Source organism: Homo sapiens, chromosome 22, assembly GCF_000001405.40.
Source record: "Homo sapiens chromosome 22, GRCh38.p14 Primary Assembly".
Lineage (NCBI taxonomy): Eukaryota > Metazoa > Chordata > Mammalia > Primates > Hominidae > Homo > Homo sapiens.
Window position 1 is genome coordinate 31,917,825 of NC_000022.11, and position 14,122 is coordinate 31,931,946.

The 14,122-nt window shown below is 49.1% G+C and overlaps 2 long non-coding RNA genes across 2 annotated transcripts, besides 1 other annotated feature; one reads left to right on the plus strand and one right to left on the minus strand.

Moving 5' to 3' along the window:
• Window positions 1–7,470: 7,470 nt before the first annotated feature.
• Window positions 7,471–12,269, minus strand: LOC105372998 (uncharacterized). The gene is made up of 3 exons (XR_001755494.2): window positions 10,339–12,269; window positions 9,275–9,486; window positions 7,471–8,727 (listed from the first exon to the last, which is right to left on the minus strand). It is a non-coding gene; the product is annotated as an uncharacterized LOC105372998 (long non-coding RNA).
• Window positions 9,286–9,486: a silencer, noted in NCBI's record as "peak4483 fragment used in MPRA reporter construct". NCBI's record gives its function as "represses an SCP1 promoter by STARR-seq MPRAs in K562 erythroleukemia cells {active_cell/tissue: K562}" and the evidence as "EXISTENCE:reporter gene assay evidence [ECO:0000049][PMID:32103011]".
• LOC124905102 (uncharacterized) lies at window positions 9,450–9,760 on the plus strand. The gene is made up of 2 exons (XR_007068064.1): window positions 9,450–9,538; window positions 9,626–9,760. It is a non-coding gene; the product is annotated as an uncharacterized LOC124905102 (long non-coding RNA).
• Window positions 12,270–14,122: the final 1,853 nt, after the last annotated feature.

A 14,122-nucleotide genomic window follows, 5' to 3' on the forward strand; every position in this document is an offset into this window, starting at 1 on the left:
CCACACATACGTATTAACAGTCACCCATGTGCCAGGCATCGTGTAGATGCAGGAGGAAGGATATTAAACAAAAAATTACACAAATAACGATTTTTAGGGTTGTGAAGTAATAAGTATAGTTGCGAAAAGTGCCCAAAAGACAAAGGAGAGGCCACTGTGAAAGGTGTAAGGGGAGCCAGGCGCGGCAGCTCACGCCTGTAATCCCAGCACTTTGGGAGGCTGAGGTGGGCGGATCATGAGGTTAGGAGATCAAGACCATCCTGGCCAACATAGTGAAACCCCGTCTCTACTAAAAATAGAAAAATTAGCTAGGCGTGGTGGCATGTGCCTGTAATCCCAGCTACTCAGGAGGCTGAGGCAGGAGAATCACTTGAACTCAGGAGGCAGAGGTTGCAGTGAACCGAGATTGCACCACCGCACTCCAGCCTGGCAAGACAGAGAGCGAGACTGCATCTCAAAAAAATAGAATAAAATAAAAAGCCGGCGTGGTGGCAGGTGCCTATACTATAATCCCAGCTACTGGAGAGGCTGAGGCAGAGAATCACTTGATCCCGGTAGTCGGAGGCTGCAGTGAGCTGAGATCACACCACTGCACTCCAGCCTAGACGACAGAGTGAGACTCTGTCTCAAAAAAAAAAAAAAAAAAAGGTGTGAGGGGGAGCCTGACCTATTCTGGGGCCTAGGGAAGGCTTCTGAATGTTTCCATGGAGACCTGATGGAAGGCCAAGGGAGAGGAAGGGGCAGGTGCAGCAGGAGAAGGAAGCAGAACCAATTGCGCAGGACCGTGTGTGCTGCGGAAGGGTGTCTTGTCTATGTCTTGAAAAGAAGGAACGTCTAGAAGGGTGGGTGACCTTGGGCAAGCCTTCCTCTTCTGTTAGCCTCAGTTTCCTCATCTTTTCAACAGGGACATGTTTGCCCTCCTTGCAAGGTTGTTGAAGAGCTCTTCAGTTAAGCACCTAGCACAGCACCTGCCACCTTGGAGGTGCCCAATAAGTGGAGCCATTGGCCTAATGGTTGTGACAGAGGTGGGGCAGGAATCCAGGCTGCGTGCCCAGCTCGCCTTCCAGCAGCTGCCCCTGCAGTCCCTGTCTTCTTCCAGGGCTGCTTCTAGGAGACACTGAGCCAGGAGCTGTCACTGGGCTGAACACATTGGCCCGAGTTCCAGCTCACTCTCTGCTATAGTGTTCCCCTGCTGTCATATCACTGCCCTTTGCCAGCCAGGTTAACGCAGCCTGGGAAAAGGCTGGGGTGAGTCTACAGCTACGGTCAGCCTTAGAAGCTGTTGTCCCCCCTCCCTCCTCCCACCTTCCACAGTGCCCCAGGCTCCAGCTAGATGACCTAGTCAGTCTTTGCAGATCCCTAATTCCTGTGATTAGCTGGGTAACCACGTACTCTGCAAGTGAGATGCAGGGTGGCACAGAGCTGGCAGCCCCAGGCTTGACCAGCAGTAGGACTACATCATTCTGAGAGTGCAGCCAGGTTGGACTCCCTCTCTCCTGATTCAGGGAAGGAGTCTTCCTAAAGCAGGAAGGAGCTGATCATTGATTGCATGCATGCCTGGAGCCATGCAGGATGCTTTGCTTGCTACTTGGCTTAGTTGTTTTTTGTTTTTTTTTTTTTTTTTTTTGAGACAGAGTCTCACTCTGTCACCCAGGCTGAAGTGCAGTGGTGTGATCTCGGTTCCCTGCAACATCCGCCTCCCGGGTTCAAGTAATCCTCCCGCCTCAGCCTCCCAAGTAGCTGGGACTACAGGCACACGCCACCATGCCCAGCTAATTTTTGTATTTTTAATAGAGATGGGGTTTCACCATGTTGGCCAGGCTAGTCTTGAGCTCCTGACCTCAGGTGATCTGCCTGCCTTGGCCCCCCAAAGTGCTGGGATTACAGGTGTGAGCCACCGTGTCCACCCATACCTGGCTTAGTTCTAACAACAGACCCCTGCTGTGGGTCCTGTTGGCTGCATTTTACAGATAAGTACCTGAGGCTTGAGGGTCACCCATCTGGCAAGTGACAAAAAGGCTGGATTCTATTCCAGGTCACCATGACCTTACCCAGCCCCTAACTCTGAGTGGCCGACCTTTGGGCTATGTTTTGTTGTATTTGGGATTTCATTCAGTTTCATTGTAGGAGTCCTGGAAACGAGATGGGGGAGCCTGAGCTTTGATCTCTTCCTGTGGTAGGTGGCTGCAGAAACTGCTGCCGCTCTTTCTCAGGAGTGTCCCAGGATGATCAAGCTGGAACCACCTCAGTGATGAATATGGCCATCCCCTTGTCCACATAGGGGAAACTGAGGCCCAGAGAAGGGAAGCAACTTGCCTGAGGTTACAAGGTTGGTCAGTGGAGCTGGGGCTCTCCTGGTGCCCTCCTCCATTGGCTTTCTATCTCACCCTCCCTTGCTGGCCTCTGTGCAGTCTCCACACATTGGAAGACCCCAATCTGTGTCTCCTGGACCTCTTTTCTTCATTGCATTCCCCCAGTGACCCAATCCTGAGATCCTAATTACCATCTACATGCCCACAAGTCTCAAGATCTCTAGCCCATCCCACCTCTGAATTCCAACCTATCAGTCCAGTTGCCTTCTTGGCCTCTCATTAGAGATTTAAGAGAACAGTGAACTTGATGTGTCTAAAACACAACTCTTGATTTAGCTCTGCACCCAACCCCCAGCTCTCACCCAAACCTGTTCCACCCACAGTCTTCCCGGATTTAGTAACTGTACCATCATCTACCCAGTTATTCAGGCAGAAAGCCTTGGAATTATCCTATATTTCCCCTTCCCTCATCCCCCACATCTAACCCATTAGCAAAAATATATTGTAATCTGACCCCCCTCCCCATCTCCACTTCCATCTGATGCGACACAACGTTAACTGTCCTCTTGCACCCTCCTTCGCCTTCAGGAATATATTCTCACAGCAACAGCATGCCCTCTTTAAAATACAGAACAGGCCGGGTGTGGTGGCTCACGCCTGTAATCCCAACACTTTGGGAGGCCAAGGCAGGTAGATCACCTGAGGTCAGGAGTTCAAGTCCAGCCTGGCCAACATGGCGAAACCCCATCTCTACCTAAAATACAAAAATTAGCCAGGCATGGTGTCACGTGCCTATAGTCCCAGCTACTCAGGAGGCTGAGGCAAGAGAATCACTGGAACCCGGGAAGTGGAGGTTGCAGTGAGCTGAGATCACATCACTATACTCCAGCCTGGGGGACAGAGTGAGACTGTCTCAAACAAACAAACAAACATAGAACAGGTTGTATCATTCCCCTGCTTGAGGATCCTTCAGCAACTTCCCATCATTTCAGGATGAAACCTCAACTCCTTGCCAGGGCCCATAAGGCCCTGTGAGGCCTGCCTGGGCTTCCAGAAGTTTCCATTCTCCAGTCTCATCTCCTCCTACTCAGAATGATGCAGCTTTTCCTGTTTTTTGTTCCGTGAACACCCCAAGGTTGCCCTTGCTTCAGGGCCTTTGCATGTCTCCCCTCTTCTTGGAACCCTCTTCCCAAGATTGTGGCTTGGTTGGTTCCTTATTGTGGGTGTCACTCGTTGCCTTCTCAGGCCTTCCCTGACCATCCTGTCTAGAAAGCAGCACCTCTGTGTCCTCTCGTCTCTTCCCCATAGCCCTTAACATCATCTAAAATTTTCTGCATTATCTGCCTGCTTCTGCATTGTCTTTTCTGCTCAGTGGAATGTAAGCACTGGGACTGTTTTTGGTCCCTGCTGTAGCCTCAGTGTGCCTAGCACGTAGCAGGCACTCCATGCATGCATGCTTATTGACAGAACAAACCACATGGATTAAGGGCCTAAGTTACAAACCAAGTGTCTTCGAAGTTGTTGTCCCTCAAACTCTTTTTTTTTTTTTTTTTTTTTTTGAGACGGAGTCTTGCTCTGTTGCCCAGGCTGGAGTGCAGTGGCACGATCTCAGCTCACTGCAACATCCACCTCCAAGGTTCAAGCATTTCTTCTGCCTCAGCCTCCCAAGTAGCTGGGACCACAGGCGCCCGCCACCACGCCTGGCTAATTTGTGTATTTTTTGTAGAGACTGGGTTTCACTGTGTTAGCCAAGATGGTCTGGATCTCCTGACCTTGTGATCCACCCGCCTCAACCTCCCAAAGTGCTGGGATTACAGGTGCCCGGCCTAGTAACATGAGCTCTCTTATTATTATTATTATTACTACTATTATTACTATTATTCATTTTAGAGAGAAGGTCTCTCTCTGTCACCCAGGCTGGAGCACAGTGGCATGATCGTAGCTCACTGCAGCCTGAAACTCCTGGGCTCGAGCAATGCTCCTGCCTCAGCCTCCCAAAGTGTAGTGATTATAGGTGTGAGCCACCTGTGCCCAGCCACTTATTATTTTTTAATCATTATTGTTTTGTTTTGTTTTGTTTTTGAGACAGAGTCTCGCTCTGTCGCCCAGGCTGGAGTGCAGTGGTACGATCTCGGCTCACTGCTAGCTCTGCCTCCCGGGCTCAAGCAATTCTCCTGCCTCAGCCTTGTGAGTAGCTGGGATTACAGGCATGCACCACCATGCCTGGATAATTTTTGTATTTTAGTAGAGACGGGGTTTTGCCATATTGCCCAGGCTGGTCTCAAATTCCTGACCTTAGGTGATCTGCCTACCTCACCCTCCCAAAGTGCTGGGATCACAGGCAGGAGCCACCACGCCCAGCCAATCATTATTTTTATTACCACCACTATCATCATCAGTTTGACTCCTGGAAGAGGCAGCTGTTGATTCCTCTCTGCCTTCAAGTAATAATACTTACGCCACTTTTCACATTCAGTGCCCTTCAGTGGCTTCCTGTTTCACTCAAGAAAAGGAGAAAACCCCACCTACCTATCCAGCAACATGTGAGCCTCCACCTACCTCTCCAGCCTCATCTTGCATGCTCTTTCCTGTTGGTCACCGCCCTGCAGTCGTACCAGCCTCACTGCAGTTCTTCATGTGATTTATGTTCATCCCACACCAAGCACTCTCCCTGGAATATGCTTTCCCTCCATCTTCACCTGGTGAATGCCTACTCTTCCTTCTTTCGATCTCAGCTCGGCCATTACTATCTCAGCCTTCCATGACCTCCGACTAGGGGAACCCTCCTTATATCACACTCTCAGAGTAACATGTGCCTCTGCTGTAGCCTTCATCACAGCCGTCAGTTTACACTTATTCCTTCAACTTGAATTAATGTCAGCCTTTTCTAATCAACACTAAGCTCCACAGGAACAGAGACCATATCATTCTTTGCTCACCTTGGTACTCCTAACGTTAGAACAGTGCCTTGCACATAGAAGATATCTCGTAAATAATAAATGAATGAATGAGTAATGAGAAAGCCTTTGGGTTAGACGGTCATCCTTCAGACCAAGCCCAAAACTTCCCCAAGAGAAAATCTGCTGCCTTTGAATAAAACCAGCCTTTCTCACTGGCCTCCTGCCATGGGACAGAAACAGCCTTCTTGACTTCCAGTGAGTTCTGCCGGCTAGAGACGTGACCTTGGGTGGTCACAGGGTACCCGTGGAGTAGGAAAAGCCTTTGTCCCTCTAAGCTGAGATAGAAACTGGATATGAAACCACAATGCAATGGAGAAGTCTGTCTCATTTCCTGAGCTCAGCCATTTCTCAGTGCCAGGCACTTTCAGCTCTTCCTTCCCTCTTCAAACAGGGTCACTTACCGTGTCCTGATGGTGGAATCCTCTACTTTGGTTTTTCTGGCCAGCAGTGTTTTCTTTAATGGGTTGGAGCAAAGGTTCTCAAAGGCCTACAGACCTGGGCCAGTCCCCCACAGAGTCAGCACCAGGACATGGTGAAATCAGAGAAACAGGGACAAAGTCGGGAGTTTTTATGAAGATAAATTAATTCTGAAATTGTCTGCCCTACTTTTTTCTGTGTCAGGATGCCCTTTCTTTTATGAAACAAGGGTGCTAGGAGTTGGCCATTTTTTTCAGTGTCCTTGTTTGTCAAAATCACCTATTTAATTTTCTTTTGAAATTTACTGGTCTGTGGACAGTGGCTGAGCCAGGATGAGAACTTGGATTTTGTAGTTCCAGGTTTGCAGTCTCTCCCCTCTGCCACCCCTCCCTGGAGAGGATCAGATGCAGGGGAGACAGGACGGCTGGCTGTAAATTATTGACGGGCTGCCATGTGGAAGAGGGGAAGCACTGGTTCTGTAACCAGGGAGCAGAGTCAGGGTCACTGGGTAGCAGTTTCAGAGGGGCATATTTCAAGTGGGTTAGAATAAACTCTTTGACAGGCAGGAATTCAACAATAGAATGGGCTACCCCACCCATGGTGGCCAGGCACAGGTGTGGCAGCCATATTTGGGCTGTTGGAGGGACTATCCCCGCCTGCGGGTACTGGTTAAGGATTTTGGCCTTGGATTCAAATCGACCTGGGTTTCAGCACTAGTTTTACCACTTTTTATCTGTGTGACCCGGGGCAAATCAGTTTCCTGCTGTTTAAAATGGGGGTAAATCACGCCTCCCTCAGAGTCCTGTGAGGATTGAAAGAAGGGGTGCCAGCCGGGCACAGTGGCTCACGCCTGTAATCCCAGTGCTTTGGGAGGCCAAGATGGGAGGATTGCTTGAGCTCAGGAGTTTGAGACCAGCCTTGGCAACATAGTGAGGCCTCGTCTCTACCGCTACTATTAATAATAAACTAGCTGGGCATAGTGGCATGTGCCTGAAATCTCAGCTACTCGGAAGGCTGAGGTGGGAGAATTGCTTGAGTCCAGGAAGTCAGCTGCAGTGAGCCAAGATCGTGCCACTGCACCCCAGCCTGGGTGACAGAGTGAGACCCTGTTTCAAAAATAAAAGAAAGAAGGGGTGCCCAGGCCACAAAAGGGCATTTTGTGAGATGTGGGCACATTCCTGGCACATCTGTCTCCAGGGAGTTTACTAATTCCTGGGGAATAAGGAATGCCACTCTCTGGTGGAGAGGAAGAGACTCACAGAGAAAAACAGTTTATGAGGCCGTGTGCGGTGGCTCACGCCTGTAATCCCAGCACTTTGGGAGGCCGAGGCGGGAGGATCACCTGAGGTCAGGAGTTTGAGACCAGCCTGGCCAACATGGGGAAACCCCATCTCTACTAAGAATACAAAAATTAGCCAGGTGTGGTGGCTCATGCCTGTAATCCCAGCTACTCGAGAGGCTGAGGCACGAGAATCGCTTGATTCCAAACATTCATTCATCCATATACCCATCCATCCATACACCTACTCATCCAACTCGTGTTCATCCAAACATCCATCCATCCATCCATCCATCCATCCATCCATCCATCCATCCATATATACATCCATCTATCCATTCATGCATCTATACATATACCTATTGATCAAATTCTTGTCCATCCATCCATCCACCTATTTATCCAACTTCTGTTCATCCAAACATCCACCTATCCATCTATCTACCCATCCATCCATTCATGCATGCATGCATCCATCCATACATACATACATACACTCACTCATCCGTCTATATACCCATCCATCCATGTATCTATTTATCTAATTCCTGTACATCCAAACATTCATTCATCCATATACCCATCCATCCATACACCTACTCATCCAACTCATGTTCATCCAAACATCCATCCATCCACCCATCCATCCATCCATCCATCCATCCATCCATCCATGTTTCAAGCAGAGAACAAGACAAAATCACTGCATTCATGAAGCTTAAATTGAGTGAGGCAGGGCTTGCAGATATAAATCAAATAATAGTAAATAAGGGTAAAATTGTGACAATGATAAGTGCTACAGACATAAAGGGCACATGGTGCTAGGAGAGTCCATCACAGGGCAATCTGACCTAGTCATGAAGGTCAGCAAAGGCTCTCCAAGTGACCATAGAACTGAGAACTACAGGGTAAGCAGGATTAAGTAGAAGAATTGGGGAGGAAAAAATGTTCAGGAAGAGAGGGAAGGGCACGCACAGGGCAAGATAAAGTTGGGAAGTAGGCCTGACCATGCAGTGCTCTTGGGCATGCTGAAGATTTTGATTTTGATTCTTAGAGGTTCTAAGCAAGGAGCAGGTGACAGGATCAGATTTGTATTTTTAAGAGATTATTTTGGCTGTGGTTACAGAAGATGGAAGCGGGGGATGGGATGAGCAAGTGTGAAAGCCGGAGGCCTGTGGGAAGCCAATGTAGATGTCCAGGAAATTCATGATGGAACCTTGGACTGGGGAGGTGATGGGGGGAGGGGAGGAGTGGATGGACTTGAGGGCCATTTAGGAGATAAAATGGACATGATTGGGCCATGGGTTTTGTGGGAAGGATAAGGGTGAGGGAGTTATCTAGGATGACACCCAGGTTTCTGGATAAAACTGTTGCCAGGCAACAGAGAGAAAGCCAGAAGGGAGTGGGGAAGGGGTGGGACACATTTTCCCTTGCAGTTGTTTTTATGCCCATGTTTGCAAAATAAAGGGTGTTGGAGGTGTGGGCGTGCACAGCTCCCTGACTGCCCACCCAAGGATAAGAAGACTGGTTTAAGAAGATTGCATGTTGCAGGGTAAAGGGAGCTAGGTCTTCTACTCTGGGCTCTGCATGCAGGTAACTGTGTGATTTCACTCCCCTGGCCCAGGACTCTGAAACAGACATCCCTCCTTGTCTGGCAATTTCATGGCAAAAAGCAGCCTGAGTCGTATTTGTCCACTCATGCTATTTACAGGACTCCTCCTTGGGAAGTTATTTCTTGTAGATCCACTTTATCCAGAGCCTGAAGGTGAAAAATCATCAAGTCTAGAATGTGAGATCTGAAAGGAATCACAGAGCCCATTTTCCCAATCTTCTAATTTTACACTGGGGCAGCCCCCGTGTCTGACCCATGTCTCTATGCTACTCTACTACCTTGCCTACAGGAAGAGAGGTTAAGGAGTTTGTCCAAAGCCACAAAGCTATTGGGCATAAGGAGGTGACCCCACATTCCTTTTCTTACTTTGGGGGTGGGGATTCTTCTGCAGCCTGCAGTTATTTCCTAGGACAGTGGGGCTAGGTAGAGCTGTGGCGATGAGCTAAGATCATAGACACAGGTGATGCTGAGCATCTGGGGGAATAATTCATCTGAAGCTGTGCCCTGCTGAGTTGGAGTCCTTTCTGACTCTTTAAAGATGCCTCTTGTCATGCACCCAGTCGTGACTCCTGAATATCCTCCTGGGGTTGCAAGATGCTCTTTGCAAAAAAAAAAAAAAAAAAAGGAATGCAGAAAACCCAGCCCACCCCCTGAAAATGAGACATAGAGACAAAAAACATGGTTTGAACCTCACTGCTTAGGTTTCCATGGTGGCTCCACTCTGCTGCCCTTCCCATTGGCTAGGTGTCCTGCTCCAGCTTTAGCAACAGAGACTCAGATACTCATCTCCTTCCTGATTGGCCAGGCTGTGCTGCAGTGCCATGGCAACAGAGGCAGGGGGACCAGTCTCTGCAGAACAACTTGAGTCACCATCTACCTGGGGTGGGCTGAGATCCAGAGAACTGCCTGTGGGGGATGGAAAGGGGAACAGGTAGCCCCCACCTAAGCTCACAGTCAGGTGGGAACCTCCCCGCCACCAGTTGCCCAGGGGTTTTGGAGGCTGGCGGGCTTCTCCTCCTCATCTTGTCTACCCTGTATCTTGCAGCTTCTTCCAGCCTTTTCTTGCTCCATGGGTCCTGTCTCCCTCAGAAGAAAAATCACACCACTAGCAGTGCCAGAGTTTAACTCATTCGCCCAAAGTCGTGCAAGTTACTAATAAAGGCCAGGGTTTGAACTCGTATTTATATTGCCTGGTTTAAAGGCTTTAGAGGGGCTTTGCTAGAGAATCCAGGGGTCCTCTCAGTTTTAATATCTATCCCCTTTTTATTCACCAAACAGCAAATGCATTTCAAAGCAGTCTTTCATCTAAATTATCTCATCATCTCAACAACCCTATGAGTTCGGTAAGTCAGAGATTAATGACCCATTTTATAGATGAGGACACTAGAGCCCAGAGAAGGCAAATTATTTGTTCCATGACACACAGCACATTAGTGCCAGAGCCGGGCCTTTAACCCAGGCCTTCTGAATCCTTGTCAGAGGTCTACCTTCCAAACCACTGACCTATCTATACCAGGGGGGTTCCAGGAGGGTTGGAGGCCCTCTGAGGGCTTCTCTGAGTGGTCTCCTCTGTTACAGAAGCCAGTTAGAATCAGGCAGTCCGTTGTGGACCAAGGGTTCATACCATAGCCCTAGTCTCAGCCAGGCAACCCCTCAATGTGACCCTGGTCTCCAGGAAGGGTCTGTTTTTAACTGCAAACCTTGCTCTTCCCCTCAACCCCCATTTGCCAACAGGTGAAGAAGTACTCACAAGCTTACCTGCAATCGGTTTTACTGTTTCTGTGTGCTTGAAGCTGTGCTGGGCATGCATGTTCTCATTGAATTCTCATCACAACCTTAGGAGTTCGGTCTTCACTGTCCACTCCTAATAGATGCAGAAACTGGTGCTCAGGAAGGTCAAGCCGCATCCCCAAGGTCACACAGTCATGGAGACATAATACCAACACAAGTCCACCTAACCTAAAGGAGCCTGGCTTGAACTACGGTGATGCTCTCTCTGTTCCCACAGAATGCAGAATGATAGCTAAAAGAGGCACCTGGAATCACTCCTGTAATCCCAGCAGTTTGGTAGGCTGAGATGGGTGGATCACAAGGTCAGGAGTTCGAGACCAGCCTGACCAACATGGTGAAATCCTGTCTCTACTAAAAATACAAAAATTAGCCAGGAGTGGTGGTGCATGCCTGTAATCCCAGTTACTCAGGAGGCTGAGGCAGGAGAATCCCTTGAACCCGGGAGGCGGAGGTTGCAGTAAGCTGAGATCACGCCACTGCACTCAAGCTTGGGTGACAGAATGAGACTCCGTCTCAAAAAAAAAAAAAAAAAGAAAAGAAAAGAAAAAGGCACCCTGGAGCTGATTCTTTTTCTCTTGGGTATGCATTTTTTCCTCAACTGAAGCTGTGGCTACTGGACCAATTCCTTGGCACTGGAAAAAGCAGACTCTGAGGACTCTGAGGGACTTGGAAATAGTTGGCCCCTGGGAAGTGACTCAGTGTCCCCAACACTCTCTCCCATTGCCCAGTTTCTCAGCTTGGTGATCTTACAGAAGGGCGTGGCTGGGCTGCTGGTAATTTGCAGCTGACCTGGTGGAGAGAAGCCCCAGTAACTTCCTTGGCCTGAATCTAAGCCCCTGCTGAAAATGAACATTTTGGCAGTTTCCTTTTCTTCCTACTCAACTTGGGCTCCCTGAAGCTCTTGCCCCTGAAACACAGCCCAGACACCTGGCCTGCCCTCCTGCCCTCCCAAGGGCACCGGTTTTGGAAGACACAACCAGGCAGGAGTTCCCACCTGCCACGCTGCTCCCCCAAGCACCACAGCAGCAAGGGGCAGGCACACAATCTCTCCATCAACAATTACACAGCTTCTCTGTGCCAGACACCACACACACAGGCTCAAGGGAGATGGTAGGGAACAAACCATTCTGGCCCCTGCCCTCATGGAAACTGCAGCCTCGTGGCGGAAATGCACTGCAGGTCCATAAGTGAATACATCATGGTTTCAGACAGTGATAAATGCCTTGGACAGGATGAAACAGGATAACGGCATAAACAGCAATTGGTGGGGGTTTGAGGGGGGAGGGAAGGGACTGAAGGGGAAGGGAGCAGGCACCTGAATGAGGAGGAGGCAGTTGTCTTGGTTATCTATAGCCACCTAACAAACCCCCAAACCTAGTGGCTTACAACAACCATTTGTTATTTTTTATGAGTCTGGCTGGCCTGAGTGGTTCCTCTGCCCGTTTCTCCTGGTCACACATGCAGCTGCATTCAGCTGGAGTCACAGCTGAGCTGGAAGGTCCAAGAAGGCCTCTCACACACATCTGGTGGTTGGTGCTGGCTGTTGGCTGGGGTGTCTCAGATCCCTATCACGTGGCCTCCCATCCTCCCGCTGGTAGACCAGCTGCCTTATGTGGTGGTCTAGGAGCAGCATTCCAAGAGGGGGAAGGCACAAGCTTGCAAGATCTCTTGCGGCCTAAGCTCCTGAACTCATAAAGGGTCACTTCTGCCACATTCTGTTGTCAGAGCAAGTCACAAGCCCAGCCCAGATCCAAAGGGCAAGGAAAGGGATGCCACTTCTTGATGTGAGGGGAGCAGCAAAGTATTTGTGGCCTTATTTATGAGACATGATCAGCCGGGCGTGGAGGCTCACACCTGTAATCCCAGAACTTTGGGAGGCCAGGGTGGGCAGATCATTTGAGGCCAGGAGTTCAAGACCAGCCTGGCCAACATGGTGAAACTCCATCTTTGTATTTTATAAATTTATAAATGTATACATATTATATTTTATATAAAAAGAGACATGATCCATATTGCAGAGAGTAACAAAAATGATTTCGAGGTGTACCAAAGTTGTGATTAGTATGAAATCTTTTTTTTTTAATTTTTTGAGACAGGGTCTCACTCCATTGCCCACGCTGGAGTACACTGGCACGATCATAGCTCACTGCATCCTCAAGCTCCCAGGCTCAAACAATCCTCCTGCCTTGGCCTCCTGAGTAGGCATGCACCACAACACCAGCAAGACGCTATCTTGCCCTGTTGCCCAGGCAGGACTATAGCAACACAATCATAGTTCACTGCATCCTCAAACTCCTCATCTCAAGCGATCCTCCCACCTGAGCCTCCTGAGTAGCTGGGACTACAGGAGTGTGCCACCCTGCCTGGCTATTTTTTTCTTATTTTTTGTAGCAATGGGGGTCTCACTATGATGCCCAGACTGGTCTTGAACTTATGCCTGGGGCTGTCTTCCTGCCTTGGCCTCCCAAAGTGCTGGGATTACAGGTGTCAGCCACCATGCCTGGCCTATGTGGCCATCTTTAATCTGCGACATCATCCATGTCGAGATCTCTGGGAAGAGTGTTCCGGGCAGAGGAAAAGCACCTGCAAAGACCCTGGGTTAGGATGGCATCCAGAGACCTGAGCCTTGAACAATGGTGTGATGGTTGATACTGAGTGTCAACTTGATTGGACTGAAGAATACAAAGTATTGATCCTGGGTGTGTCTGTGAGAGTGTTGCTAAAGGATATTAACATTTGACTCAGTGGGCTGGGAAAGGCAGACCCACCTTTAACCTGGGTGGGCACCATCTAATCAGCTGCCAGTGCTGCTAGAATGTAAACAGGCAGAAAAAATGTAAAAGAGAGACTGGTCTAGCCTCCCAGCCTACATCTTTCTCATGTGCTGGATGCTTCCTGCCCTCGAACATCGGACTCCAAGTTCCTCAGTTTTGAAACTGGGACTGGCTCTTCTTGCTCCTCAGCCTGCAGACGGCCTATTGTGGGACCTTGTGATCGTGTGAGTTAATATGTAATAAACTCCCCTTTATATATATATATACACACATATATATACATACACCCATATATATACATATATATACACATATACACATATATATATATATGCCATTAATTATGTCCCTCTAGAGAACCCTGGCTAATACAAATGGGTTCCTCTACTCCCTTAGTTTCCTGTCCTGTAAAGTGGGAACTAAGGATGTCTCCCTGGCTCCTTATAGGAATACAGGATGTAAGATGCTTTGCTTCAAGGCTGGGTTAGGATTTTGGTTATTGGCCAGTGGCAGGGAGGAGAGGCCAACACAGGAGCTCAGCTTGGCTTCCCCCAAGCTCACCAGCGTTTGTTGAGCACTGTCTGGCAGGAAGGCACAGTGCTCAGCACCACAGGTCATAGCTGGGGAGTCTGAGGGTTGCTGATCTTGCCAAGCTTATGGGATAAAAAGATTGCTTGCTGCCCCGGATGTGACTGAGACATACCAGATGCATCTCAGAAGAAAAGAGCTGGGAGGACTGTGGGGCTCAGGGAAGGCCTGGAGGAGATGGGGTTCCAACAGGGCTTTGAGGGGCACATAGGATTTGGCTGAAGGAGGGGAAACTGTTGATAGGAAAAGTATAAGCGGCTGTGGAATTTAGTAATTCAGTGCAACAAATGTTTGCTGAACCCCTACATACGCCACGTGAACGGGACAGACAGAGGCACTGTGAGGATCCAGAGGAGACACAACACAGGTCTTGAAGTGATGATGCTTCA